At 36.3% G+C, this 26,609-nt stretch overlaps 1 long non-coding RNA gene across 2 annotated transcripts, besides 1 other annotated feature; it reads right to left on the bottom strand.

The window, feature by feature from the left end:
• Positions 1-538: 538 nt before the first annotated feature.
• LINC01370 (long intergenic non-protein coding RNA 1370) lies at positions 539-4,607 on the bottom strand. 2 transcript variants are annotated; one of them, NR_109936.1, is made up of 3 exons: positions 4,577-4,607; positions 2,626-2,805; positions 539-1,165 (listed from the first exon to the last, which is right to left on the bottom strand). It is a non-coding gene; the product is annotated as a long intergenic non-protein coding RNA 1370 (long non-coding RNA). The 2 variants fall into 2 exon arrangements; NR_109937.1 differs by having other exon boundaries at positions 2,710-2,805.
• Positions 22,575-23,278: an enhancer, noted in NCBI's record as "H3K27ac hESC enhancer chr20:38614432-38615135 (GRCh37/hg19 assembly coordinates)". NCBI's record gives its function as "activates a minimal SCP1, AML or CMV promoter by ChIP-STARR-seq in naive H9 embryonic stem cells {active_cell/tissue: H9 hESC(naive)}" and the evidence as "EXISTENCE:reporter gene assay evidence [ECO:0000049][PMID:30033119]".

Here is a 26,609-nt window from a genome sequence, read left to right as displayed (position 1 = left end):
TTCTATTAGATCAAACCTTAAAGAGTAAGATCATTTTAAATTACATTAGAGACATGGACAAAAGTTAAAGTTTAAATGCTAGCAACTATGGTTAAGACTTTGCATAAATTATGTTATTTAATCCTCTCGATAACACTGTGAGTTTGGAATTTTTTTCCTTAACTTACACAGGAGGCTTAGGGTTTATGTAATCTACAAAGATCCCTCAGGTAGTGTGAAAACAGAGCTGCAACTTTAACTTTTTATCAGTGTAAATGTAAAATTATTCATCTGGAAAAAAAGAGAAAGAGAAAAAAAGAGCTTTACTATTATCTTGCTCATGGAGATTCAGTCACTATTCATCAACTGTGAACATGTGATTAAGTATGTTGGGTAGCTAGATATTAAATCAACTTCATGAGGCTTTAGATCATTTCAGGGCAGTTGTAACTATTGCCATTAAATTGATTTGCATTGTAAATGAATAAGTTATCATTTCAATTTTGTTAAAAAGGCTATCATAACACTATGGATTGATTTCAGATCATTAAACTGTACATAGTTGTTTCAGTTATTTATTACTGTGTAACAAATCACCCGAAAATTTAGTGGCTTAAAAGAACAACAACCTTATTTGCTCATGATTCTGTCATCTGGACTGGGCTCAGCTGGGCGGCTTGTCTCTGCTCCATGTGGCATTAGCTGGATTGACTCATGTGTCTGCAGTCAGTTGGCAGCTCTACTAGGCCTAGATGATGCAAGATGGCCTCAATCACAAGTCTGGCACCTCAGTTGGGATGACTGGAACAGCTAGGGTCTGGCTGTTTTTTCCTCCCTTTCAGGGCTTCCATACCCACATGGCCTCTCATGCTTAAGGAGTTTATGTCAGATTTTCTCACGACATGAGGCATCTCACTTCCATTATATTCCCAATACAATGTATTCAAATTTTCATGAACAGCACACTTAAAATTGTTATGGGACTCTAAATTATTGTTTAGGAAGATGATCACATCTTTTGCAACCTAACAGGTAATAGGTCTTCCAGCAAAGAAAGCATCCCATCTTCAGCCGCTAGCCATAAAAATGGGTGTATATAGAGCATAATGACTGTATCTCCTTCACCTTTCCTGTAATGATCCCGTCTTCATACGGACCATATGCAAGGGAATGATTGCATCTCTTTCTGTAACGTAATTATAACAAGGTTATCAGCAATGCAACAATCCTAATTTCCACCTGAAATGCAATTGATATCATCATTATGGGCAATATAAGGAGCATATCTCTACCATAAATGTAGATAACACATTGTCTTTTGCACACTAGAGATTGCATTTCTTCAGGAAATGCAATAACAGATCTATCTGTAGTGCAATGATCCCATCTATTCGTGCAAGTTAATTATCACTTTTCCACTTGCCAAGCCATAATGATAAGTATTCCTATAGGCCAATGATTGCATCTCTGCCCTCAGGGTAATGATCACATATGCAATGTGAGATAACAAAATTATCTTCAGGGCAATGATCAGATTCTTTTGCATAGGGTAATGATAACGTATCCACTTTAACCTAAAGATAGTAGGCATATCGTCAGTGCTGTGATGCCAACTTCCCCTGCAGTGACTATGGGTGACAGACATTACTGCAGCATGTATTCACATCTACCTGGATGTGTAACAGTGAATTTTGTAGGAAGTCAAAGTCCTACTTAGAGGTAGCATAGCGACCACAACAAAAGTGCTAAGAACAAATAAATATGAATTTAAATAGATGCCACCATGTAGTCCATGTGGCTTGGGGTCTATGGCTTAGCTTCTCTGAATCAGGTTGCAAAACTGAGAATGATAACACCTTTTTCTGTAAAAATATTAGCATAAACATTACATTTCTCAACTTAGAGGCTAGTCCTTAAGTCAAGTTTATTAATTTTCTTCTCCTCCCATTGATCTCTGGACCATATCCTTGTCCAGATTCCCCCAGGATCTGAATCCATTAGCACCTCTCCCCAGTCCAGCATCAACTAAAATTTGCACATACTTATTCTTAAGCTCTTCCTCTTATCCTTTCTTCTGATATTATTTTTTTCCCCATTTCTGCCTGCAGATGTGCTTCTGCCTCTGTATTAGTCCGTTCATGCACTGATAAATATCTGAAACAGGGTAATTTATTTTAAAAAGAGGTTTAATTGGCTGACAGTTCCATGGGCTGTACAGAAAGCATGGCTGGGGGCGCCTCAGGAAACTTTCAATCATGGTGAAAGGAGAAGCAGTCACATCTTGCATGGTCAGAGCAGGAGGAAAAGACAGAAGGGGGAGGTGCTACACACTTTTAAACAACCAGATCTCATGAGAACCCACTGTCATGAGAACAGCAAAGGGAAAATCCAGCTCCATGATCCAATTACCCCCCACTAGGCCTCTTCTCCAACATTGGAGATATAATTTGACATGAGATTTAGGCAGGGACACAAATCCAAACCATATCAGCCTCCTATATCTTACAATGCTATTTACAGACTCTGATTTAATTAGTTCCATTGGAAATACATTTTCTTAGTTTCTAAAATTGTTCTGCCTGTTTTCTTGCTTGCTGACCATCATCTGTCTACATATCCAAGATAGAAATCTGGACAGCAACTCACTTCTCACTGTAATTTACTCTGTATTTCCAATCAGGTACTATGTGCTGTTGATTCAACCCCCTTAATGTTGACTGTTATGCTGACCTTTAGTCTGTCTCCATTGCTACCATCCTAGTCCAGGCCTTCAGCACTGTTCCCATAAGTGGATATTTAACTTGTCTTGAGTTGTGAAAATATTTTCTAAGGAAAAAGGAAGAGATTTATGGATATTAGTGTATTAAAGTTCTGAAATGTCATTAAGTCATAAATAACAGGAAACAGTGGAACATTTTTAAATGGACAAAAAGTCTTTGCTAGGCATTTTCCAGAAAAAGTATTAATATTCTTGGTAAGCAAAGAAGGTTTGAAAATTAACTATAAAATTATGAATGCCTCAAGAGAAAAAATAGGAAAATACATCAACAGGCAATTTATTAAAGAAATTCCAATAATGAATGTGAAACCATTTTAATGCCTATATTAATTTTTTAAAGTTCATATATATAATATCAGTTATCACATTTTCAAAGATGAAAATAGACAATATTTCACAAAAAAAACTGTCCAATAACTTCCTTGCAAGTAACTTGTCCAAGTCTTTCTCTCTACAAAGATAGATACACAGATAGACAAGTAGATATAGACATAAACATACGTGTAAAGAGAACTTACAAGGCTCAATAGATAGGAAAGATAAGTTTCAGAAATCTCAAAAAAAGTAAGCTACTGTCAGTAATTGCAGTATTCAAAAGAAAATTTTAAGAAACTATTATACTCAAATATGTAGAAAGATATGACCCTTAAATGTAGAGAAAAGAAATAATTAAGGAGACAGTGTGTGTTCCTTAATTATTTCTTTTCCCTACATTTCCCTACACTCACCCACACACACATTTTTAGAGATAAACTGAATTAAGGATTAGTGAACATTTTTAAAATCCCAGCAATATTCACATCGAGCACAGAGAAGAGTATAATTGAGATTGTAGGGATGTTGAATCAGTAGCGAGGAGGATATTTTGAGAAAACATCTGAGAATAAAAAGTAGGAGAACAATGAGATAAAAATGGCAAGAAAGAAAATTTTAGAATGAACAAAGAATAGAGACCTAAAATAGAAATAATAGGTTCTCCTGAGGAAAGAGTCTTGGAAAGATTAGGAAAATGAAAAGAAAGACAATAACCACATTCGTAATAAGAGACATTTCCATAATATGGGGGAGAAACTGTATTGGTAAATTGCAGAGATTTACTGAGAAGTACATAAAAATAATAGAATTAATGGTCTATATTCTTTACCTTTTTAATGATAAGGATTTTTAAATGCTAAAATCATTTTGGCAGAAAATAATAAAACTTACAAGAATTTTTAAAATATATAAATACAAATATGTTGGCATCTTGGGAGGAACAAAAATTTGTCTAATCTGAGGCTTTTAATCTAAAACCTGAAACGCTAGAAGAGAAAATAGCCATGTCGATAAAGTTTTTACAAGAATAAGCTGTGTACTTTTTTGTTTGCTTTTTAAAAATGTGTTTTATTTATTTTTGCTTTTCTTTTTAATGAATGAAAGCAGTTGCTTTACCCTAAAGGAAAAGATAATTCTTTGTAAAATAAAAAAATATAGAAAATTATGCTGTTCTTGGTTGCAAGGAGCCAAAGTATGGGAAGAGAAGAAAATTTGAAAAATGTGCTTCCTTTTGGTTAAGGGACAAAATTCATATCAAATAAAGGTGAAAGGGGGAAAACAACTTTCAGTAAAGCACCAAAAACAGTTTTTAAAAATCCATTCCTATTTTTTTCTACCTGGCTAAAATAAGTGCAAATTTCAGCATTTTGCAAAGATATGTAATATAAAATTAATGTTAAAGTAACACAAATATGTCCCTAAACCTTTAATTTTCAAAACTTAGAACTGTATGTTTGTTTCTACATGTACATAAAGAAAGAAAAATAAAAGCGAACTACATACCTTGTCTCAGCAGGACACCAAATGGTAGTTTCTTCTAAAATGACAATGAAGGTGAGAGAGGTTAAATCATTATTTTCAAATGGCTAAGATAATGGCCATTATCCTTAGCAAACTAACGCAGGAACAGAAAACCAAATACTGCATGTTGTCATTTATAAGTGCGAGCTAAATGATGAGAACACATGGACACACAGAGGGGAACAACACACACTGGGACCTTTCAGAGGGTGGAGGATGGGAGGAGGGAGAGGATTGGGAAACAAACAACTAATGGGTACTAGGGTTAATACCTGGGTGATGAAATAATCTGTACAACAAACCCCCATGACATGTTTACCTAAGTAAAAATCCTGAGCTTGTACCCCTGAATTTAAAAGTTAAAAGTTAAAAAAAGAAATGGCTAAGATACTTTTTAAGTAGTAGTAACAGTATGCTGGAGAAGTGTATGGTTTTCAAAGCAAAAGGAAAAACTAGGAAAAAAAGATAGGAGGGATTATATATACGAATGTGTGTGTGTGTGTGTGTGTGTGTGTACATTATACCATTTAAAGCATTGCACAAGGCAAAAATGCTGCTATCACCATGATAATTCACCAGAAGGTTAAAACAATCACAAAAAATCTTAGAAGAAAGGAGAAAAAAGTCACAATCATTGAAGGGCAACAACTTTGCCTAAATGGAAGCCCTCACCAAATCATGTGTTTATCAACTCTATGACTTATTTTCTTTTACTCCTGAATAGAAGTCCATCCTGTCATGGCCTCTTGGTGAGCTAATGATTTCTGAAACATGCATCTTGTCTTTATAAGAGGTCTTGTGTCTCACTACACCTCCCATCTCCCTTCCCCTCCCTTTAACTGTGAACTAGACTTAGTAACCTTCTTATAAATATTAATAACAGGGTAGAGAAAGGGGGAAATAATAACTTTACAGAAGGGAATTTGGAGACATTCATTAACTACATAATCAAAGTTAATATCACCAGTAATAAGACATTTTAATATCACGTGCCACTGATAAGATGTGATGAGATGATGTATTAGGCCATTCTCACATTGCTATAAGGAAATACATGAGACTGGATAATTTATAAAGAGAAGAGATTTAATTGGCTCATAGTTCTGCAAGTTGTACAGGAAGCATGATTCTGGCATCTGCTCAGCTTCTGGGGAGGCCTCAAGGAACGCAATCATAGTGGAAGGCAAAGGGGGAGCAGGCATATCACATGGCCAGAGCAGGAGCAAGAGAGAGAAGGAGAGGTGTTACACATTTTTAAATGACCAGATCTCAGGATAAGTCACTCATGTCCTCCTAGGACAATACCAAGGGGGCTGGTGCTAAATCACTCATGAGAAATCTGCCCCTATGATCCGGTCACTTCCACCAGGCCCCACCTCCAACACTGGGGATTATATTCTAATACAAGATTTGGGCAGGGACTCACATCCAAACTATATCAGAAGGGTACATGACCTCTGTGGTATTCATTCCCCCAAATTAATAACCTCAGTCTGTTCATGAGAAAACATCAGATAAACTCAAAATTAAGGACATTATACAAAATATCAGACTGGTACTTTTCAAAAGCATTAAGGTCATGAAATTCAAGGAAAGACAGAAACTCTTCTAGACTGGAGAAGACTAAGCATACATTACTAAATGCAATATGTCTTGGATTAGATCCAGGTCCAGAAAAACCAAAGAGGGGAGATCCAAAGAATGCCTATTACACTTAGTTAATAGTGTACATGAATGTTAATGTCTTAGTTTTGATAAATTTACTGTGGTTATAGAAGATGTTAACATTAGAAGCTAGGTGAAGGCTGTATGACAACACTACACTTCCTTTGCAACTCTTCTGTAAACCAAAAATAATGGCAAAACAATCTTTTTTTTAACAATTCATAGAAGGCAACCTACGATTATGATGATGATTATTATTATTTAATTCCGGTATACAAGTGCAGAACGTGTAGGTTTGTTATGTAGGCATAGGTGAGCCATGGTGGTTTGCTGCACTTATCAACCCATCATCTAGGTTTAAAGCCTCGCATGCATTGGCTGTTTGCCCTAATGCTCTTCCTCCCATCAGCCCCCATCCCCCTACTGGCCTTGGTGTGTGTTGTTCCCCTCCCTGTGTCCATGTGTTCTCATTGTTCAACTCCCACTTATGAGTGAGAACATGAGGTGTTTTGTTTTCTGTTCCTGTGTTAGTTTGCTGAGGATGATGGCTTCCAGATTCATCTGTGTTGTTTTAAGATATGCATGTGTGTACATGCTTGAGCCTCCCAGACCTCCCATGGACCTGCACAATGCTAGAGACAAGGCAACTTTTGGTTAAATAAACAGACTTTTTAGTAACCAACACACCATTCCTAAAAAATCAAGAAGCACCAGGAAAAGGGCAAGTTTTGAAATTGGCCTCTTCATAACTTTTCTCACTGCACTCTTTATTATATTTATGTGTATGTATATATTTTCCTTGTCTTTTATTTTATTTAGGCACTTTCTAGAGTTCAACTGTCGCTCAGGGCATCAAACTAATTTTCTCCTCAGCAATGATTGCAGAGCTGCATGCATAATGAACCCCGTTACTGCTCTTGTTATTAAGTAGGCCGTTTGGGGACATGGATGGGGGGAGGTCACAATCTAAAAGGCAATGGCTCTTCCTAGCACTGCCTGCCCCCACTCATAGACTGAGACCATTGCACAAAGAAAAAAATAACACATAGAGAAAGAGGCAAATGATCCTGCTCCTTGATGTGAGGAAATGTCAAGGGTTTGCATTGGCTTTAAGGCACTGACTTTTGTTATTTATTTCATGCAAAATAGAATCATTCTTTATTGACCACTTGAAAAGACTGCATATATTGAAAACCAACACCGTGTCAGCATTTGCCTTGGGTATTTTATGAATGTTATCTCATTTAATCCTCACAGCAAGTCTATGAAGACAATGTACTCATCCTGTTTATAGTTAGGAAATTGAGACTGAGAGATGCTAAACGACCTGTCTAAAGTTTTCTACATGGTCCGCAAGCAGTAAAGTCCAGTAGAGTGGTAGACTATAGTCTAGACATCCCAAGGATGTGCTTTCATACCTTTGTAGTTACAGGAGCAGGAAGCAATCCTGTTTCCTGTTTTTCTATGTGGTCATAAACAGCAGGGTTCCCAAATTTTAATGTGTATTTGAATAAGCTGAGACCTAATTAAACTGAAGATTCTGATGAAGTAGGTGTAGGGTGGGTCCTGACTTTCCCATTTCTAATAAGCTCCCAGGTGATGCCAATGCTATTGGGCCATGGTTCACACTTCCAGTAGCAAGGATGAAAGACAAGACTGAAATCTATTGTTATGGAGTCACACCTTAGATTTAAAAGGGAAAAGTGGAAATTAATGGTAAAATTCAAATATAGTGGTTAAACATTATCTAGTATTAAATTATTGGCTGTACAGCCTGGCCAACATGGCTAAAACCTGTCTCTACTAAAAATACAAAAGTTAGTCAGGAGTGGTGCCAGGCACTGTAATCCCAGCTACTCAGGAGGCTGAGGCAGGAGAATCATTTGAACCCCAGAGGCAGAGGTTGCAGTGAACCGAGATCACGTTGCTGCACTCCAGCCTGGGCGATAGAGTGATACTTGGTCTCAAAAAAAAAAAATTACCAACTCTAGTTAGATTTTATAGATTGAATAGACTTATCCTAGGGCTTACAGCTTAGGGTAGACCTCAAAATAAATCAGGAAGAATAAAAACCACTATAAATGCATATGGTTTCAGGGACAGAATAAGAAGGAAAAGGATTTCTATAAGTGTCTTCGTGATCTCACATGTAGCCATGCCCAGCTTCCTATCCTCTAGTCTTCCTTAAAAAAACACTAAAGGACCAACTTGTTCCCTTATTAGTAATATTTTAGTAAGACCAAGGGAGACTCATCTGTTAAAGAATGGAAGGAAAGACTGAATACCTTAGTTGTCACACTTTGGGAAAGCTTCTCTAAGCTCCAATAGTTTATCTTTAAAAACAAAGTTAAGTACAGTATCAGATACATAAAAAGTGTTCAGCAAATTCTTGTTCTCTAGCATGTCTCTCCTCCCCAGTTAATTTTTTGTACTCCTCACTCTGTCTTTCTCAGATATATATGTTACAGACATTTTCTTCCAGTCTGTACCTTTGCCTTTTCATTATCTTTCAATGGCACTTTCTGAAAAGAAGTCTAATTTTTATAAGTCCAGTTTATCATTTTATTTTCTTTTATAGTTAGCGTAAACCATTTTCTATCAAAGAAATTTTTGCCAAATTCAAGTACTTAAAGATTTTATCTTGTATTCTCTTTTAAAACTTTTGTAGTTTTAGGTTTTATATAGGTATATGATCCATTTTGAGTGATTTTACACAGAGGATGAAGTAAAATTTGAGATTTATTTTCATGTGGATGTTATTTCAGCACCATTTTTTGAACAACTATCATTTCCCCCATTAAATCACCTTGGTATCATTGTCAAAAATCTGTTTAGCTCACATGTGTTAATATATTTCTGGGCTCACTATTCTTCTATTGATTTACATATCTATGCTTACATCAATATCATGCCATCTTGATAACTATTTTTATAGTAAATCTAGAAATCAAATAATGTATTAAGTAGCTCTCCAACTTTGTTATTCTTTTACAACAGTGCTTTGGCTATTCTTTAACTTTCCATATAAATTAAAAAATAAAATTTTAAATATCTGTAAAATAGCCATGTGGAGATTTTGAATGGGATTGTGTTGAATCTCTAGATCAACTTGAGTAAAACTGGCATCTAAAAAAATTTAGCCTTAATATCCACCAAGATTTATTTAGTGTTTTTCAGTATATAGGGTTTGCACATATTTTGTCAATTTTCTTCTCAATATTACATTCTTCTTGAAGCTATTGTGACTGGTGTGGTCTTAAATTTTGTTTCCATGTGTCCTCAGCTATTATGTAAAATACTATTGATTTGTGTGTATTGACTTTGTATCCTACAATGTCACTAAATTCACTTGTAGGTTTTAGTATTTAAAAAAATTTTTTTAGAGTTTTCTATGTGGAGTCTCATGGATAGGCTCTCCAGGATTACGTTGCATGTAGGTGGTTAGAGGGGTATGCCCTTATATTTCACCATGAAGAGTGTTGTAACCTCTAGATGTTTCTTAACACTTAACCAGATCACTGAAATTAAAATCCTTTTTTTTCTTTGCTAGTATAAGAAGTTGAAGCTATGAATTTCCCTCTAGTACAGATTTAGTTACATCCCACAAATTTTGTCATTCTGTGTTTTCAGTATCATTTAATTCAAAATATATGTTATGTTTTATGCTGCTTTTTACTTGAACCATGTATTTAGAAGTATAATATTTACATTTCAAATATTTAGTGATTTTTTCAGAAATCTCTGTGCTATTAATTTTTTAATACTGTTGTGTTAGAGAACATACTATGTAAAATTTCAAATATTTTAAACTTACTGAGAATTGTTATGAACTCATTATATATAATATATAATCTATATTGGTGGATGTTCTGTGAGCATTTGAAATGATGTGTCTTTGTTATTATTCAGTTTAAAATATATTTTAATCTTCCTTGTTTTATCCTGTGTGTTCTCACTGTTCAACTCCCACTTATGAGTGAGAACATGTAATGTTTGGTTTTCTGTTTCTGTGTTAGTTTGCTGAAGATGATGGCTTCCGGCTTCATCCATCTCCTTGCAAAGGACATGATCTCATTCTTTTTTATGGCTGTGTAGTATTCCATGGTGTATATGTACCACATTATCTTTATCCAGTCTATCATTGATGGGCATTTGGGTCTTTGCTATTGTAAATAGTGCTGCAATAAACATATATGTACATGTGTCTTTATAGTAGAATAATTTATATTCCAAATATTCACAGTATTCCATGATATATATATATATATATATATATATATATATCACATTATCTTTATCCAGACTATCTCTGATTGTCATTTGATGTCTTTGCTATTGTAAATAATGCTGCAGTAAACATACATGTACATGTGTCTTTATAGTAGAATAATTTATATTCCTTTGGATATACACCCATTAATGGAATTGCTGGGTCAAATGGTATTTCTGGTTCTTGATCATTGAGGACTTGCCACACTGTCTTCCACAATGGTTGGACTAATTTCTATTCCCACCAAAAGTGTAAAGGTGTTTTCCTATTTCTCCACAGCCTCACCAGCATCTATTGTTTCTTGACTTTTTAATAATCACCATTCTGACTGGCTTGAGATTGTATCTCACTGTGGTTTTGATTTGCATTGCTCAAATGATCCGTTATGTTGAGCTTTTTTCATGTTCATCGACTGAATAAATGTCTTCTTTTGAGAAGTGTCTGTCCATACCTTCTGCCCACTTTTAAATGGGATTGTTTGTTTTTTTTCTTATAAATTTGTGTAAGTTCCTTGTAGATTCTGGATATTAGACCTTTGTTAGACGGGTAGATTGCAAACATTTTCTCCCATTCTGTAGGCTGCCTGTTCACTCTGATGCTAGTTTATTTTGCTGTGCAGAAGCTCTTTAATTAGATCCCATTTGTCAATTTTGGCTTTTGTTGCAATTGCTTTTGGTGTTTTTGTCATGTAGTCTTTGCCCATGCCTATGTCCTGAATGGTATTGCCTAGGTTTTCTTCTAGGGTTTGTATGGTTTTGGGTTTTACATTTAAGTCTTTAATCCATCTTGGGTTAATTTTTGTAAAAGGTGTAAGGAAGCCCTCCAGTTTCAGTTTTCTGCATATGGCTAGCCAGTTTTCCCAGTACCATTGATTAAATAGGGAATTCTTTCCCCATTCCTTGTTTTTGTCAGGTTTGTCAAAGATCAGATGGTTGTAGATGTGTGGTGTTATTTCTGAGGTCTCTGTTCTGTTTCCTTGGTCTATATATCTGTTTTGATACCAGTATCATGCTGTTTTGGTTACTGTAGCCTTGCAGTGTAGTTTAAAGTCAGGTAGCATGATGCCTCCAGCTTTGTTCTTTTTGCTTAGGATTGTCTTGGCTATATTGGCTCTTTTTTCATTCCATATGAAATTTAAAGCAGTATTTTCTAATTCTGTGAAGAATGTCAGTGGTAGTTTGATGGGAATAGCGTTGAATCTATAAATTACTTTAGGCAGTATGGCCATTTTCACCATATTGATTCTTCCTATCCATGAGGATGTAATATTTTAGCCAATATCATATACTGAATAGGCAAAAGCTGGAAGCACTCCCTTTGAAAACCGTCATAAGACAGGATGCTCTCTCTCATCACTCCTATTCAACATAGTATTGGAAGTTCTGGGCGAGACAATCAGGCAAGAGAAAGAAATACAGGCTATACAAATAGGAAGTCAAATTTTCTGTTTGAAGATGACATGATTTTGTATTTAGAAAACCCTATCATCTCAACCAAAAATCTCCTTAAGCTGATAAGAAACTTCAGCAAAGTCTCAGGATACAGAATCAGTGTGCAAAAATCACAAGTATTCCTATACACCAATAATAGACAAGCAGAGAGCCAAATCATGAATGAACTCCCATTCACAATTGCTACAAAGAGAATAAAATACCTAGGAATGCAGCTTACAAGGGATGTGAAGGACCTGTTCAAGGAGGACTGCAAAACACTGCTCAAGGAAATAAGAGAGGACACAAACAAATGGAAAAACATATTTGAGTATTTTCTGGAAAGCTTTCTGTTATTGATTTTTAGTTTAATTTTATTGTGGCTAAAGAACGTGCTCTAAGATCTCAATTTTTAAAAAATTGAGAAAGATTTTATAATCTATTTTGGTAAGTATTCAATGTACACTTTAAAATGTGTGTGTGTTTGTGTGTTTGTTGAGAGTGTTTTTTGTTTGTTTTTTTTTTCTTACTGCTTTGTCATGTGTTGCATCTCCTCCTTTTCTGGAACTCCAACTGGATTCAAGAGTGTCTGACATTTTCACCATGTCCTATGTGTATTTTGTGCATCAATCTTACCAATTAATTTCCTGTATTTATTGATCATAATCATTTTTAAATTTGTTATCTATTAATTCCAATATTTGGCTCTCCTATTGGTCTGCTTCTAGTCTCTTTCTTTCTCTCTCTCTGTCTTGATCATTAGTTATTTGTCCTTCTATCCCTATATGCCCAGTAATTATATTTTATTAAATAATGGATATTGAGTTTGAAAAAGTGTAATAATTAAGGCTCTGCATGGCTTTATATTCTTCTAGAGAAGATCTAATTGTGTACCTGGTAGGCATTTAGGTTAGGGAAAAATCACCTTAATCCAAGCAGAGAGCAAACAGTCCATTCACGAAGATCAGTCTTTGTAAGAGCTGAATCATCTCAAACCCTAATTCTTGAGTAGTCGTCCTTGTGGGGTATCAACAGAATGCCCAGGGCATTCTTCTCTTTACTAGGCCATGTAGAGAAAAATTACGAAAAGTTATAAAATATTTTTAAATCCAGCTGCCCAGCCTCGGCAATATCAACCCCCAGCATTCTGATTCTGGTACCTTTAGATTCCTCATTTCAAAGCTGTTCTAGGACCAACTCATATTTGTTGTTGGTTCCTTTATTTCTTGTTTGTTTGCTGTGTGTGTGTGTGTGTGTGTGTGTGTGTGTGTGTGTGTGTGTGTCTGTGTCTGTGTGTAGGGGAGGGAAACTGGGGGGTGCCTCTGGCATCTTTCCTAATAATTGTGGAATCAGCATTTTCTCTAAAATATTTGCCTTCATAGACTGTTCATTTTATAGCAGGAGGGTCTCTCAGAACTTCTTGAGATTTATAGTTCTAAAAATAGAAATCTCTCCAAATACCAGAATTTGTCAATTTCATGTATATCTAGTTGTTTTTCTTATGTTTTGTTTATGTCTGCTTCTGTAATGTAAGCTCCATGAGGTCATAAAGTGTGTCTATGTTGTTTTATTTTTTCTCCACAGTCTAGCATAAACACTTAGTACATGATCATCATTCATTAAATATCTGAATTGGATGAATGGGTGAAAGGATAGATGTGCAGATGAATGGACAGAGACTAACAGCACTCTTTATTCCCACTGCCTAGCAATGTAGTTAATATCTTATAGGCACTTAAATGTATGTGCTGGACAACTCAATTGCACACAGATGAAGGAAAAATTGATGGCACATTCTAAGAGGACTGCAGAGTCTTTTCCCACTAGGCTGATCCCATTTAGAATGGGGCCCTATGAATGAATCTCAGCACTTTTGTGGCTCACCAAAGACAAAGCATAGGTAGTTATTCAGTAGGTGTTTGTGATTATGGAAATCAGCTGAATTCAGTCAAACTTCTCATAGAGATGCCTTCAGTTAGAAGCTCTTTTCTTAGCATTTTGCTTTAGACGCAATCTATTGCTTCTAGTTTTCCCATGTGTGCATAAACACAAAAGTACATTGAAAGTCACCACTTGTTGAGTATGAGCCTGCAAGCAGAGACTAATGCTCTTACTTATCACTATATCCCAAGGACCAGGACAATAAATAGTTTTAAACAAAATTAATAAATGTGTGACTGGTAATGAATAAATGAAGATTCCCTATTTAGTAATAGCAGATAAAACAGTTATCTGAACAATAAACAAGGCTCTTTACTCAAAAGCATTTAAAAAATTCCAGAAACAAAATAGTATGTAAGCTTGCAAAAAAAAAAAGTGTGGCTATGGCTCAAGTCACAAGGGAGCCTGGGCTATTCAGCCTTTAAGATTCTGTTTACTTTTGGAATATCACCTATATAGAATACAAGGGTTTCATTTATTTCTAGTAATCTACGGTAATCTATTTATGTCAATGGCTGCTGATGTTGGCAAGAGTCTGCTGTTATAAACACTTTACATCTAATATTATAAATACCCATAGCAGGTGACCATATGTGTATGTTTCTTTCTTCCAAACTTGAATTTGTTGCTCATAAAACTTACATATCTATTTTTCTATCATTGATATGAACAGGGTAGTCTACACTGAATGTATGTTTAAAATATTCCTGAAATTCTCTTACCTTTACAGAGACACTGCATATGACTTTCATTTTCTAAGTTTGTACCCCATTTCTCCTACTCTTTGCTTTACACTCCTTGATGAAAGGGACCCTCATTGCCCAGGCTTTCTCCTCTTTCATCAACTATGATTATCTTAATTTTCAAATCATATGATGGGATAAACAACGTCTGGTAGTTACTTAAATGATCTGGAAATTATGCATCCCACCCACTACCACTTTTGTCATCTCTACAAATGAAAGAATCAAAAAAACTTCCCTCTTTGGGTTCTGACCTTGGAAACACACCTACAGCTTTTATCATCTCCCACATCCTTTCCTGCTGGGAACAGCCCAGCAGAGTCCCCCAGACAGCTGTTAGAGCTCAGAATCAATTTACTTTGGGGTGAGGACTTGAGGGACACAGATGGGTGAATTACAGGTGTTCAGCTTAGTGGCAGGCCCTGCTTGGCACAGTTTAATATGAGCTCCCACTTGTTTCAACTGCAGGACAGCAAAGCTGTCACTCTTTGCCCTGGAGAGGGCTGGCGGGTTTTGGCTGGGTGCCATATGCAATCCTAGTTACAAGGTCAACTGCACATTTTTGGTTTTTGGAAGCTGTTAGAAGTTGAGCTAGTCGCTGACTATACCTTTAACTTGGATCAGGTTTCTCTCTTTAGATTTTTACTGAGACTCCAGAGTGACTATTTGTCCCATTCAGAGGCACTATCCAAGAACCTATTGTTGTAGTTTCTGCTCCACGTTTATGTCAACCATGCATGTTTGCTTCATTGCTTTTTCTGTTTTCTACTTATTTTCTGTTTCCAGTCTTTTATTCCGTAACATACTTCACTTCTTCCCCACAATCAGTCCTGATCCTTTCAGGCATTCACTTCATGTATAATTGATGTAAGAACTCTGAAAATAAGGGGAACTCAGTTCTATGAAAATATTTTAGGGAGAGGGAGAATGGTTTAGGTTCCAATGGGTTGAATACTTTTCCAAATCAAAATCTACAAAGAATTGGACAGTGGAAATAACAAAATAAAATGCCCCAGTGTCTTAGCCATTCTAGACCTCAGTTGGTCTCATCAGCATATAGGGATTGAGTTCCAGGCAAATTATTCTGAAAACCAGAATTGCTTTGGAAATAGAAAAACCATTTCTAAGGCAATGAAGATATAGGCCCTGGAATAGGATTCATTTCCTTACATTCGCATGCATTTATGGTTTGAAATCAGGCCAGGCATGCCCTATCCAGGCCATAGCATGACCTCTGCAAAATCATATCTATCATTGAAAAGGCCCTGCTTTCCGTAACTCCTTCTGATACGCTGCCAAAAATTCAAACAGCTATTCCGATTACACTTTAATTGGTACTTTATATTCAACACATAGGAAAACTCACCATAAACAAAAGCTGTTCTTTCCTGAACTCTGTGAAGTTAAAGTATCTGGATCGTGTGTTAACTATATAATATTTATGGAGTTCAGCTTGTGGGTGAAGTCAGCCAAAGCCCATTTCTCCTCCTTAAGACCTTATATACTAAAGAATGCTTTATATAATGATCTTGAAATAGCTTTGAAATTCCCACCCCTCAGAAATTCTTACAATTTTAAAGAACAGAAGAAATAATAAATAGCTGATTGAGTTGACCTTTTTTTTGGTTTTTCTTTTTATTCTTTGAGAAATCAATACTAATATAGTTGGCATTTATGTAATCAACCTTCTTCCAAGAATCTCGAAACACGTCTAAACTCTGCTGGTTGGTTACTTAAAAGTAATCACTTGCCCTGAAACCATAAACCAGGTCACATATGGAACTGGTTGTAAGAGTCAAATACTAAGCCCTAACGTTTCTACCAGTGGTTTATGCCAATCTGTTACACTCCTCATTCACCTACATCCATGCAAGTAGGCAAGGACCATTAGGGAGTTTGAGATGAAGACAGCAATTTATGATGTGTGGACACATTCAACCAAATTACTGAGCATCTCCTCTGTGCTAGATCCTGTAGTATGCATAAGGGACAGTGATAAATAATAGCTGGGCTTTTCTGTCTAGAAATTCACCATCTCTAATGAGTAACAATTATGAAAATCAGCATGTAATGAGCACCTACTCTGTCCTTTAAGCCTTTTATATGCATTAATTCACTTAGTCCTCACAGTTACTTTATAAAGTAAGGTCTAATATTATACCTAATAAACACTGTCTACCTAAATATTAAAATGCTTATATTGAGCCTTGGTTGCTTCAAATCATTTTTAAATATTTCTTTTCAGACAGACTTCATGTCCCCATTGTATCCCTTCTTGATCTCCTTTCCTAGTCTCCTTCCCAGGAGACAATTGCCTTTCTACAGTTGATGTATAAATATGCTCTATATATCTACACACACACACACAGCATATTGTATTGTGTCTTGTGTGTTTTTTAAATTTGCACAAATAGTATAATTTTTTAATGTTCTTCGGCACCTTGGTTTATTTACTTGATTTTGCATTTTTGAAATGTGTGTATGTTGAGTCAAAAAGAAATTGTGCATAAATGGTAACAGGTATATAGTATGCCATTATATTAATACACACAAGTTATCAATCCATTCCACTATTACTGGGCATTACTCTAGTGGATATTTCCAAATCACTCCCAAAAATGGTTGTACTGTTTAAACTCCTATTGGGAATAGATGAATGTTCCAGATACCCTATAACTTCAGTGGCACTGGGAGTTGCTAGAAATTTAATTTATGTGAGTTTGATGGATATGAGAAGTATTTTGTTAATAACTGATATTTTCATCCATGTTTCTACCTAATATTGACTAATATATACTTTCTTATGCTGTCTTTTTTCTGGTTTTTGATATAAAGGCTACATTATTTTCAGAAAATTTGTTAAAGGACATTTCTTTATATTATGTACAATGGTTTTAGAAAATAAGAATTTTTGTTTTTTGAAAGTGTAGTTAGCCCTTTATAAAACTATTTTATAGGGTGAAAAGGTATAGATTAATTAATTATTGGCATTTTGTAGTTTCTATTATTTCATAATTCAATGTTATTTTTATTATAAAATTTTAATATATTATCAATTTATTGTATTTCTTGACTATGTCAAGATTTTAAATCAATTTCTTTTATTTCTTATTTGTGCAAGTTTTTATAGTTCAACTTGTGCCTTCTCTTTCTTTGGCCAGTCTCTCAAGGGACTGTTTTATTAATAATTCTGAAGAATGAGCTTTTGTTTTTGATACTTTTCTCCATTGTTTGATGTTTCCTATATATTTCTTCTTTTCTGTCATTAGCAGCTTCTGTACATTTGGGAGGAGGATCTTGAGAGGACACTAACACTTTGGACTGAAACTTTAAGGGTTGAAGTCTGGTAGTTAAGATGACAGTTTTGCATCATTCTACTCTACAGAAAACCTAAAGCATGAACCTGTATTAAATGGTCAAAAATAGTGTGCCCAGGATTCTGGCAAAAGCAATGAATATATTTGTTGGTGGAAGACAACTTTAATCAAGTCTTGAATTTATTACTGAAAGTTAGTTTTTAGAAACAATGTCCAGCACATACTCAGAAATAACTGAATACATGAAGAGTTGAAATACCATAAGAAAAAAAAAAACAGCAAAAATAATACAGTATAGGAGCAAACACAATGAAGTCCAAAAAATAGAATTACCAGGCAGACTATGTAACAACTGTGCTCACTATATACAATGAGATGAAAGTCAAGATTTAAAATGTTGGCAGGGAACCAGCAACCATAAAATGTGATATCATAGATTAAAAAATTAACAAAATATACATTCTAGAATTAAAGTAAAATAACTAAAAAGATCAAATTAACAGCAAATTAGGAAGAGTTGATAGAGAACTATTGAACAAAAAGATTGGTCAAAAATCTAAGAAAAATCAGAAATGAAGAATAAACGAAAGATTGAAAATATACCAGAACACCTAACAGATATAGATCAGTGCAATAGAAATTTCTGCAATAATAAAAACATTCTGTATCTGTGCTGTCCAATTCAGTAGCCACTATACACATGCAGCTGTTGGGTACTTGATATGTGGCTATTGAGATTGAAAAACTGACTGTTAAATTTTATTTAATTTTACTTAGTTAAGTTTAACTTTATATACCCCCATGTGGCTAGGGACTAATATATTGAACAGTACAAATATGGCGGAGACATATAGAGATTCTAACATATAAGAAATAAAAACACCGAAAGCAAAAGAAGAGAGAAAGTGAAGCAGACGTAATGTTTGAAGAGGTAAGGGTGTAAAAGATTTCATAGCTGATGAAAGACACTAATTCACACATTCAGAAAACCCAAAAATATCAAATGATATTAAAAAATCTTTCAGGCATATCATAGTGATTCTAAAGAGAACCCAGTACAAAGAGAAAAATTTTAAGAGGAGGCAGAGAAAAGAGGAGAGATTACTTTCAAACAAATAGCATTTACTGACAGTTGACTTCTCAATTACAATGGAAACAAAAAATAGATACAATGTGCTAAAAAAAAAAAAGGAAAACAACAACAAAAAACTCCCGTCCTGTAGTTTAATGCCCAGATAAATAACTTTCAAGAATAAAAGTAAAATAAAGTCATTTTATCATCAAAATCAACAAAGACAGTTTAACACTAGCAGATGCTACCAATGGGAATTATAAAATATTCCCGGATGAAAGGTAAGACATGTAAGAAGCAAAAAGAACTATGAAAATGATAAATATGTGGGTAAACTATAAGAGAAAAAATACTATAAAACACAAATGATAATTTCTTGCAGACTCTCATGTTTTTTCTCTCTCTCCCTCTGTACTCCATATGTTATGTTGAAGTTGTTTACCTACACTACTGAAATTTGTGCTTTTTTTGGACAGGGATCTATGTTAAAGTGTCCAATAAGGCAGCACAACATTAATGCTGCTTGTAAGGAGAAATGGATGAATGAAATAAAGCAAAGGAAGTTATTTAGTTGTTCCCTGGCAATGGGGCAAGAATATTAAAGCACAATGAGTTTCAGAGAGAGGTGACAACTTTGAGGAGTTCAGTCTCAAAATGGTCACTTGTGGCACTTCAGCATTTTCAAATAATATTACAGACTTGATATTTCTGATTTATGATTCTGATAATAAAATTCCTGAGATCCCATTCTAGATCTAGGCTTTGGTCAAGCTAACAAAACTTTCCAATCCTCATTTTCTTAACCTTTGAACTCATTTTGCATGGCTGCTGTGCAGGGAACCACACTTGGCTCCTCTTCACTAACTTCCCTGAAATGCTATTGACTCCTTGGCAATGTGCTCTCAGACCTTTTCTCTGACTTTATTTATTTATTTATTTTTGTTGTTTCCTTTCAGTTTGGGTACTTCCTGCGGAATACATTCAAGTCTATGGTTTGTATCCTGTTTCTCTCCCTCCCTTTGTCTTTCTCATCAATGTTTTTTGAGAACTTTTCAAATTGTACTTTATGTTCACATCTTAAGTTCAAGTAGTGTTAATTCTTTATTTACCACCTCAAATGCAGACTGTTTTTGCATGATTTGGAGTTTTGTCTGATCCTTTTACTTTTTCTTATGTCATTTTTAAGACTTGTCTTTGAAGATTACTTTGTAGGTGTATTTTATAGCCAATTAAATATATTTTAAAATATTTTTCAGTTTACTCATCCATGAATGAGTAAACTGGACATTTATCAAGAGCTGGTGTTTGTCAATAAGGGTACATGGTCTTCATTTGTGAAAAGAAACTCATTTAGATATTAAGGTTTATTAGCTTATTGTTCATTTCCTTACTCTCTTCCACGGGAGGAGTATATTTCCCTTCCCCAGAAGACAGGTTAATTGTACAATAACTAGAACAACTTCCAATATCATATTGGAAAATAATCAACTTTCATATTATTGAGCTCTGCTGCAGAGGTGGCTTTTTCAACTCCAACTGCCATTCTGAAGAAAAGAAATGCACAACAAACTACTACCTCTGCAATATACTGTTACCATGAGTTTTCCTGTCCACATTCTTGCCAAAGCAGTGTAATTTTTCAGTGTACCATGGCAATATGTGCTAAGAGCTCTTCTTTTCTAATTATCTGGTTGTTTTCTGGAAGTCAAAGTCTCCAAAAGTTGTAATAAGAAAATAAAAATACTTTGTCTCACCAGCTGGGTGCTATGGCTCACACCTGTAATCCCAGCACTTTGCGAGGCTGAGGCGGGTGGATCACAAGGTCAGGAGTTCGAGACCAGCCTGGCCAATATGGTGAAACCCTGTCTTTACTAAAAATACAAAAATTAGCCAGGCATGGTGACGGACGCCTGTAGTCTCAGCTACTCGGGAGGCTGAGGCAGGAGAATCACTTGAACCCGGGAGGCGGAGGTTGTAGTGAGCCGAGATCGAGCCACTGCACTCCAGCTTGGGAGACTGAGTGACACTCTGTCTCAGAAAAAAAAAAAAAAAGAAAGAAAGAAAGAAAGAAAAGACCTTGCCTCAAAAAGGTAGCATTCATAGAAGAATTCTCCAGTTTTTTTCCTTGTTTCAGACTTTTCTGGGTATTCGTTTGTTTGTTTGTTTGTTTCAACAGTAACTGTGGGTTCACTAAGGTTGGACTTTCTCACCCCAGGCCCATTTGAATTCATCCTATGTGGGTTTTGGTCATTGTATGCCCTTTACTGTTCTTCATTTGTGTTTTATATATTGGATTAGAGAGCTGCATTAAGAACTTCTAGTTACATGCCATTTAAATTGAAGAAGGTTCTTATGTGTCTAACTAATAAAATTTCCCTCTCTCTTAGAATATTCTGTATTTTGTACTTTTTACTGGGTCAAGGATACTGTTTTCCTTGTTGTCATAAATTATTGCAATTTAACTCTATATAAATATAGATTTTTAAAAATAAAATTTGGGTGGAATACAGGATTTTAGAAGCTGTGGCTCTCTGATGTTTCCAAGGATTCAGTGTGGGTCACCAAGAGAGCATTTATTCTAATAATTTATTGTAAAAATATTCAAACTTGCAGCAAAGTTGAAGTAATTTTGCAGGGAACAGACTTGTACCTACCATCTATATTTTGCCTTTAACATTTTTTTTCTACTTGTTTTATCACGTCTGTCCATCTATCCATCAATTAATTTATCACAGTTTTGGATGCATTTCAAAGTAAATTGAGAAAACTAGTATACTTCTTCTTAAATAGTTCTGTATAAATATTATTAGAGTTCATTATTAGTTTACTTTTTTCTTTATGTAAAAACTTACATGTAAGGTACATATACATTTATTGAGTTTTGCAAACACATACACGTGTGTAACACAGACCCCTATCAAGTTACAGAATATTGCCATCACCCTCTTACTCTTTCAAAAAGTACAATTTCAGGATATTATAATCTGACAAAGTTAGAAAGGAGGCAATTTCCTCCAGAAATACCCCCAAGGCTAACTCAGTTTCCCCACTACATTTATGTGCTGGTAGAAAAGGAACTCTTTCTTCCCTGCAGTTTCTTAGATTTTGTACTTTTGCCACAGAAGTTAGTGCTTGGGAGTGTGGAGAGTAAAGAGCCAAATGGAAACAGAAAAAGCCATGTCATCATTAAAAATAAACAGAGACACAAATATGTCAGAGGGCAGAGGCAGACACTTCATTGTGCAAGTGATTTATGAGGAAGCTAATTTTAAACAAGCCTGGGCTGCGTGGTGCCTTTCAGCCAAACAAACAGGCAAAGCGCCCTTTCGACAGCAGCCGAGAGCTGCTGATCTCCTCAAGGAATAATCTCATTTTCTTGGTGGTGTAAAAGGCACTAAGTGGCTGTTTTCTGTCTAAGGAAACCCGGCTGAGTCACTGAAGGCAGGCCCTGTTAAATGCCAGAGAGTAACAAGACAAAGACCTGCCTTCTACAAGTTAAACCCACAAAACAAAACACTGACACATTAACAACAAATCAAGCAGGTTTCCCTCTGTTTATTCCATGTCCTACATTTCTTTTCCCTTAAAATGGCACTAGGATATGAGAGAGAGGGATTGGCCACCCAGGAAATTAGTACATGGCTCTCTGGCCTGGCTATTCATGTCTGCTTTGTAACACAGATCAGGCAGGCACTGAGAGTTATCCCTGGGGGAGCCAGCCAAGGAACTGAGAATGTAGAAACAGGAGAGGCAAGCGGGCCAGGCTCACATGTGGAGGAGACATTGCAAAGCTGTACAAGGCAGCCAGCCTAGGATTAGTAGAATCTATCTTTAGATTGGAGGCCTTAGGCTATTAGTTTTCTCTGCCTTCAGGTTTGAGCCTTTTCCAAATGCCAATGCTGAAAAATCTGTAGTTCAATAGTCTGCTGCATGGGAAATTCTTATAGCCAAGCACATTTAGGTGTGTGTGTGTGTGTGGTGTGTGTGTGTGTGTGTGGTGTGTAGGGATTGATTGTCAGCAGTAATTTCAGTGAATGAACATTTAATACGGACCCTCAATATATAAGGTTCAAAAGCCACATGAAAGGTATAAAAAGATTGAGGTGCTAGATTAAAGAGAGAATTTCTTTGGGAAAATGTGTTGGAGTATTTTTCCTACTGCCATTCCAAGAAGGGGTGGGTAGGGGATGTGGTCCCCTTGCCTCAAGTCTAGTGAGAGAGGCTGGAAAAACCCAATTAGGGAGTTAGATTGCTTCCTTTGGATGTAATGAATAGTGCGGATGTTTCACAGGGTTCCAACAACTAGTGAGGCCCGAGCACTGACAAATGAGAACTGAAATCATTTGTGCATTTGGAGTCAGCTCTTGCAGGGTCTGGCTTTGCCAAGTATTTTCTTTTAGGTTCCTGAATAGTGGGAGGTCTGGAGGTCCTGGGAAGAGGCTGAGGAGGCAAGGGTATTGGCAGAGGATTTGACGGGAGCTCAGAGCAGAAGTTATTTACCAATTGTTACAAGAGGACTTCAAACATGCAAAGCCAGTTCGCCCTACTAGGGCATACCAGTTAACTAGCAGACCTGAACAGCGGATGGAGTAGGGGCTGCTGGGGTTACAGAGTACCTGCACTTCTGCCAAGCACTGGTAAAGGTGCATGTTTCCCATGGAGATGTCAGCCATATGAGCAGGAGGAAGAGAACTGGCCCTTATCACCTTAAAGGGACTTTACCCAAGAAGGTTGTCTGGAAGGGAGATAGGACAACAGTTGAGACATTATATGGTGGAGAAGAAACCCCCAAAACCAAGGTGCTTTTATGCTATAAACTCTCTCAGCAGTCTTTGGCAATAGATGACCCCTTCTTAGGTTACTGTTTTTAAGTACATAAATTAAATCCATAGAATTGCCAAAGGAATCCTCTTTAAGTAGAGTTATCAAAATATTTCAAAATTTTTATAACATTAAATAACCAGATTTAGCATCAGTCCTAATAACTATCATTATTTTCATAATTTTAAAACATTGATAAGTGTAAACAACATTTTGAAATACCTTCACAATTGCAATGTAATATGAAACGATCTGTATATGGGTGCTCATCAATTAAGGTATTTTTAAGCCTCCACCTCTTTTCTCTCCTGGCTTCAACCAGGAGGTTCGAAGTCAACACCAGGCTGTGGTAGGGGATGGAAGGAGACAACAGAGTAGAAAAGACAAAGTCCCTCTTTCCCCATCAGTGGATTTCCAACCTATTGCAGGTTCAAGTGAAGGGACAGGCTTTAACTTTGAGTGAAACTCAGAATTTCAAATATTACACTGGACTCGGGATATTCATCAGTGAACAGACACTATTTTAGGCAACTAAAATGCCTGGAGTTTCTTTGGTTATTTCAGAGGGAATCTGGAAGCTGTGTGGTCTTTTCTGCCCAGGAGTTCATCCAGGGTTAGGGAAAGGTCTGATCCATGGCACAGGTTTGAGTGAGCAATTACGGGGGAAATGAAGTTGCTTTGGTATTGCATCCTGTGAGTCCTGCTGGTCCAATGTACTAATCCCATGAAGATGTAAGGTGTGTGTGTGCGTGTGTGTGTGTGAGTGTGTGTCTGTGTGTATGTGTGTGTGTGTGCAATTAAAAAAATAAACACTTTCTCTGCCTGAAAAATAGTACGTTATGGTGAGTAGGAGCATGGTCAATGAAACAAAACTGCCTGTGAAAAAATTCTAGTTGGACCACTTACTGCAAAACCTTGAGTAATTTCCTTAACCCCTCTTTGTCTTAGTTTACTCATCTGTAAAATGAGGCTATTGATAATGTTATATGTAGCCCATAAGGATAAAAACATGATTAAATGTGTTAATTTACACAAAATTCTTAGAACACTGCCTGGTGATATTCAATTATAAGCTATGTTGTTATCGTTGTTGTTGTTAATTGAATTACTTTTCCCCCTGACATTTGCAATGGCCTCTCAGGAACCTCTGTTGAATCCTAGAAATCTGAAAAGTAAGAGTTGGATACCACAATTTTAGAACATCTGTATTTCCTTCCTAGAGGTTGGGTATTTTGGCTAATTCTACACTCCATGCTCTAGTGAAAGAAATGTCTCAACCATCTGGAACATCTGTGTCCCCAGCACTTCCCAAGAGACTACACCTGACCAACCACCTCCCGGGCAGGCTCTAGGTCATAGTCCAGGCATTTTTGTTGTTTCATCATCTCAGATAAAAGCTGTCATGAACCCACTATGCTGTAAGATAAAACCTTCAGAAGCTATTTATGTAGAAAGTAGTTGTTAAATATTGCAGGTAGCTAAGGGCCTTTTCAGTTGCTAAGGGAGGTGTTATACTTAAATTTCAGCAACAACAAACCAAACAGCTGTGGATACACCTGATGTGTGGATAGATGTTTCTGGCAGTTGTGGTGGAATCGAAAGATTATTGGGCCAGGGTCAGGCAATCTTGGATTTAAAATACTGTTTATCACTCACCAACTGAGTGAAATTTAGTATGCTCCTTAATGTCTCTGAAACTTAGTTTCCTTTTAAGCATAATCCGGATAACAAATAATTTCTTTGTGCAGTTGTCAGAATTACATGAGATAAGGCTTAGGTGTTCAGTTGGTGTTGACACATTCCCTCCACCCTTTACATGAGAGGAATGCTATTCAGATGCCAGCTGCAGATCTCTGTTCCACTGGAGAGGAAGCTAAACATGACTCAACCTCCCTTCTTCCCACCTAATGGGTTCAATGGTCTGTGGAAGTCTTAACACTCTTCAGTATTCCTTGTGAATTCCGTGTGAGGGGATGGAAATGGAGAGTCATATTCCTCCAGGTGGCTCAGCATTGTAGGGTCTTATGTCCAAGCATGCTATCTTTGTATCACATCACTTTACCCAGTAGAAATGATCAGCCCTCTCTTTAGTTTTCACAAACAAGGACAGGATCTCTATCTATTCTTGTGCTGCATTAATCAGTTACATATATTGTGTTAAAAACACAGAAGGCAAAGTGGAGTGGATGCTCACTTTCTGGCAACACAATAACTCATCATTCTTACATACCTTTTGGCCGTCCTGTCACTGTTAACAGTCCCTGGGCCCCCCAAATATAATCACATATACTCCCCATTTTGTTAGATCTTCTCCCCTTCTCATCCTCATCTCTTTTCTTTATGCCACCTTGAGCAACTATCAGCAACAGCCAACATGATTCCCCTGTTGCTACTGTAGAGTAGCTTCCCACAGTCTTTGATATCCTGATACTTACTGCTATTCCTGCTTGTGAGTGTATCTGTTAGTTAATGCTGAGTAATAAACCATGCCAAATTTCAGGGACTTTAAAATAAACCCTTATTGTTGGTCACTAATCTATTTGTGAGTTGCATGTCTCTAGGTTGGGCTCAGCTGATCCCAGCTGGCTTTGCTCACTTTCGCAGTCAGGTAGGAGTTGGCTAATCTAGAATGGCCTCAATGGAATGGTTGGCTGAATACTGGCTATGGAAATGCACATGCTTGGGTCATGGGTTGCACCTCCTCCAGCAGAGTAGCCTGGACTGATCCACATAGCAGAACAGGGTTTCAAGAGAGC

This window comes from Homo sapiens, chromosome 20, assembly GCF_000001405.40.
Source record: "Homo sapiens chromosome 20, GRCh38.p14 Primary Assembly".
Classification (NCBI taxonomy): Eukaryota; Metazoa; Chordata; class Mammalia; order Primates; family Hominidae; genus Homo; species Homo sapiens.
The sequence above is the reverse complement of the archived record's forward strand: the minus strand, read 5'-3'. Positions and strand labels throughout refer to the sequence as shown.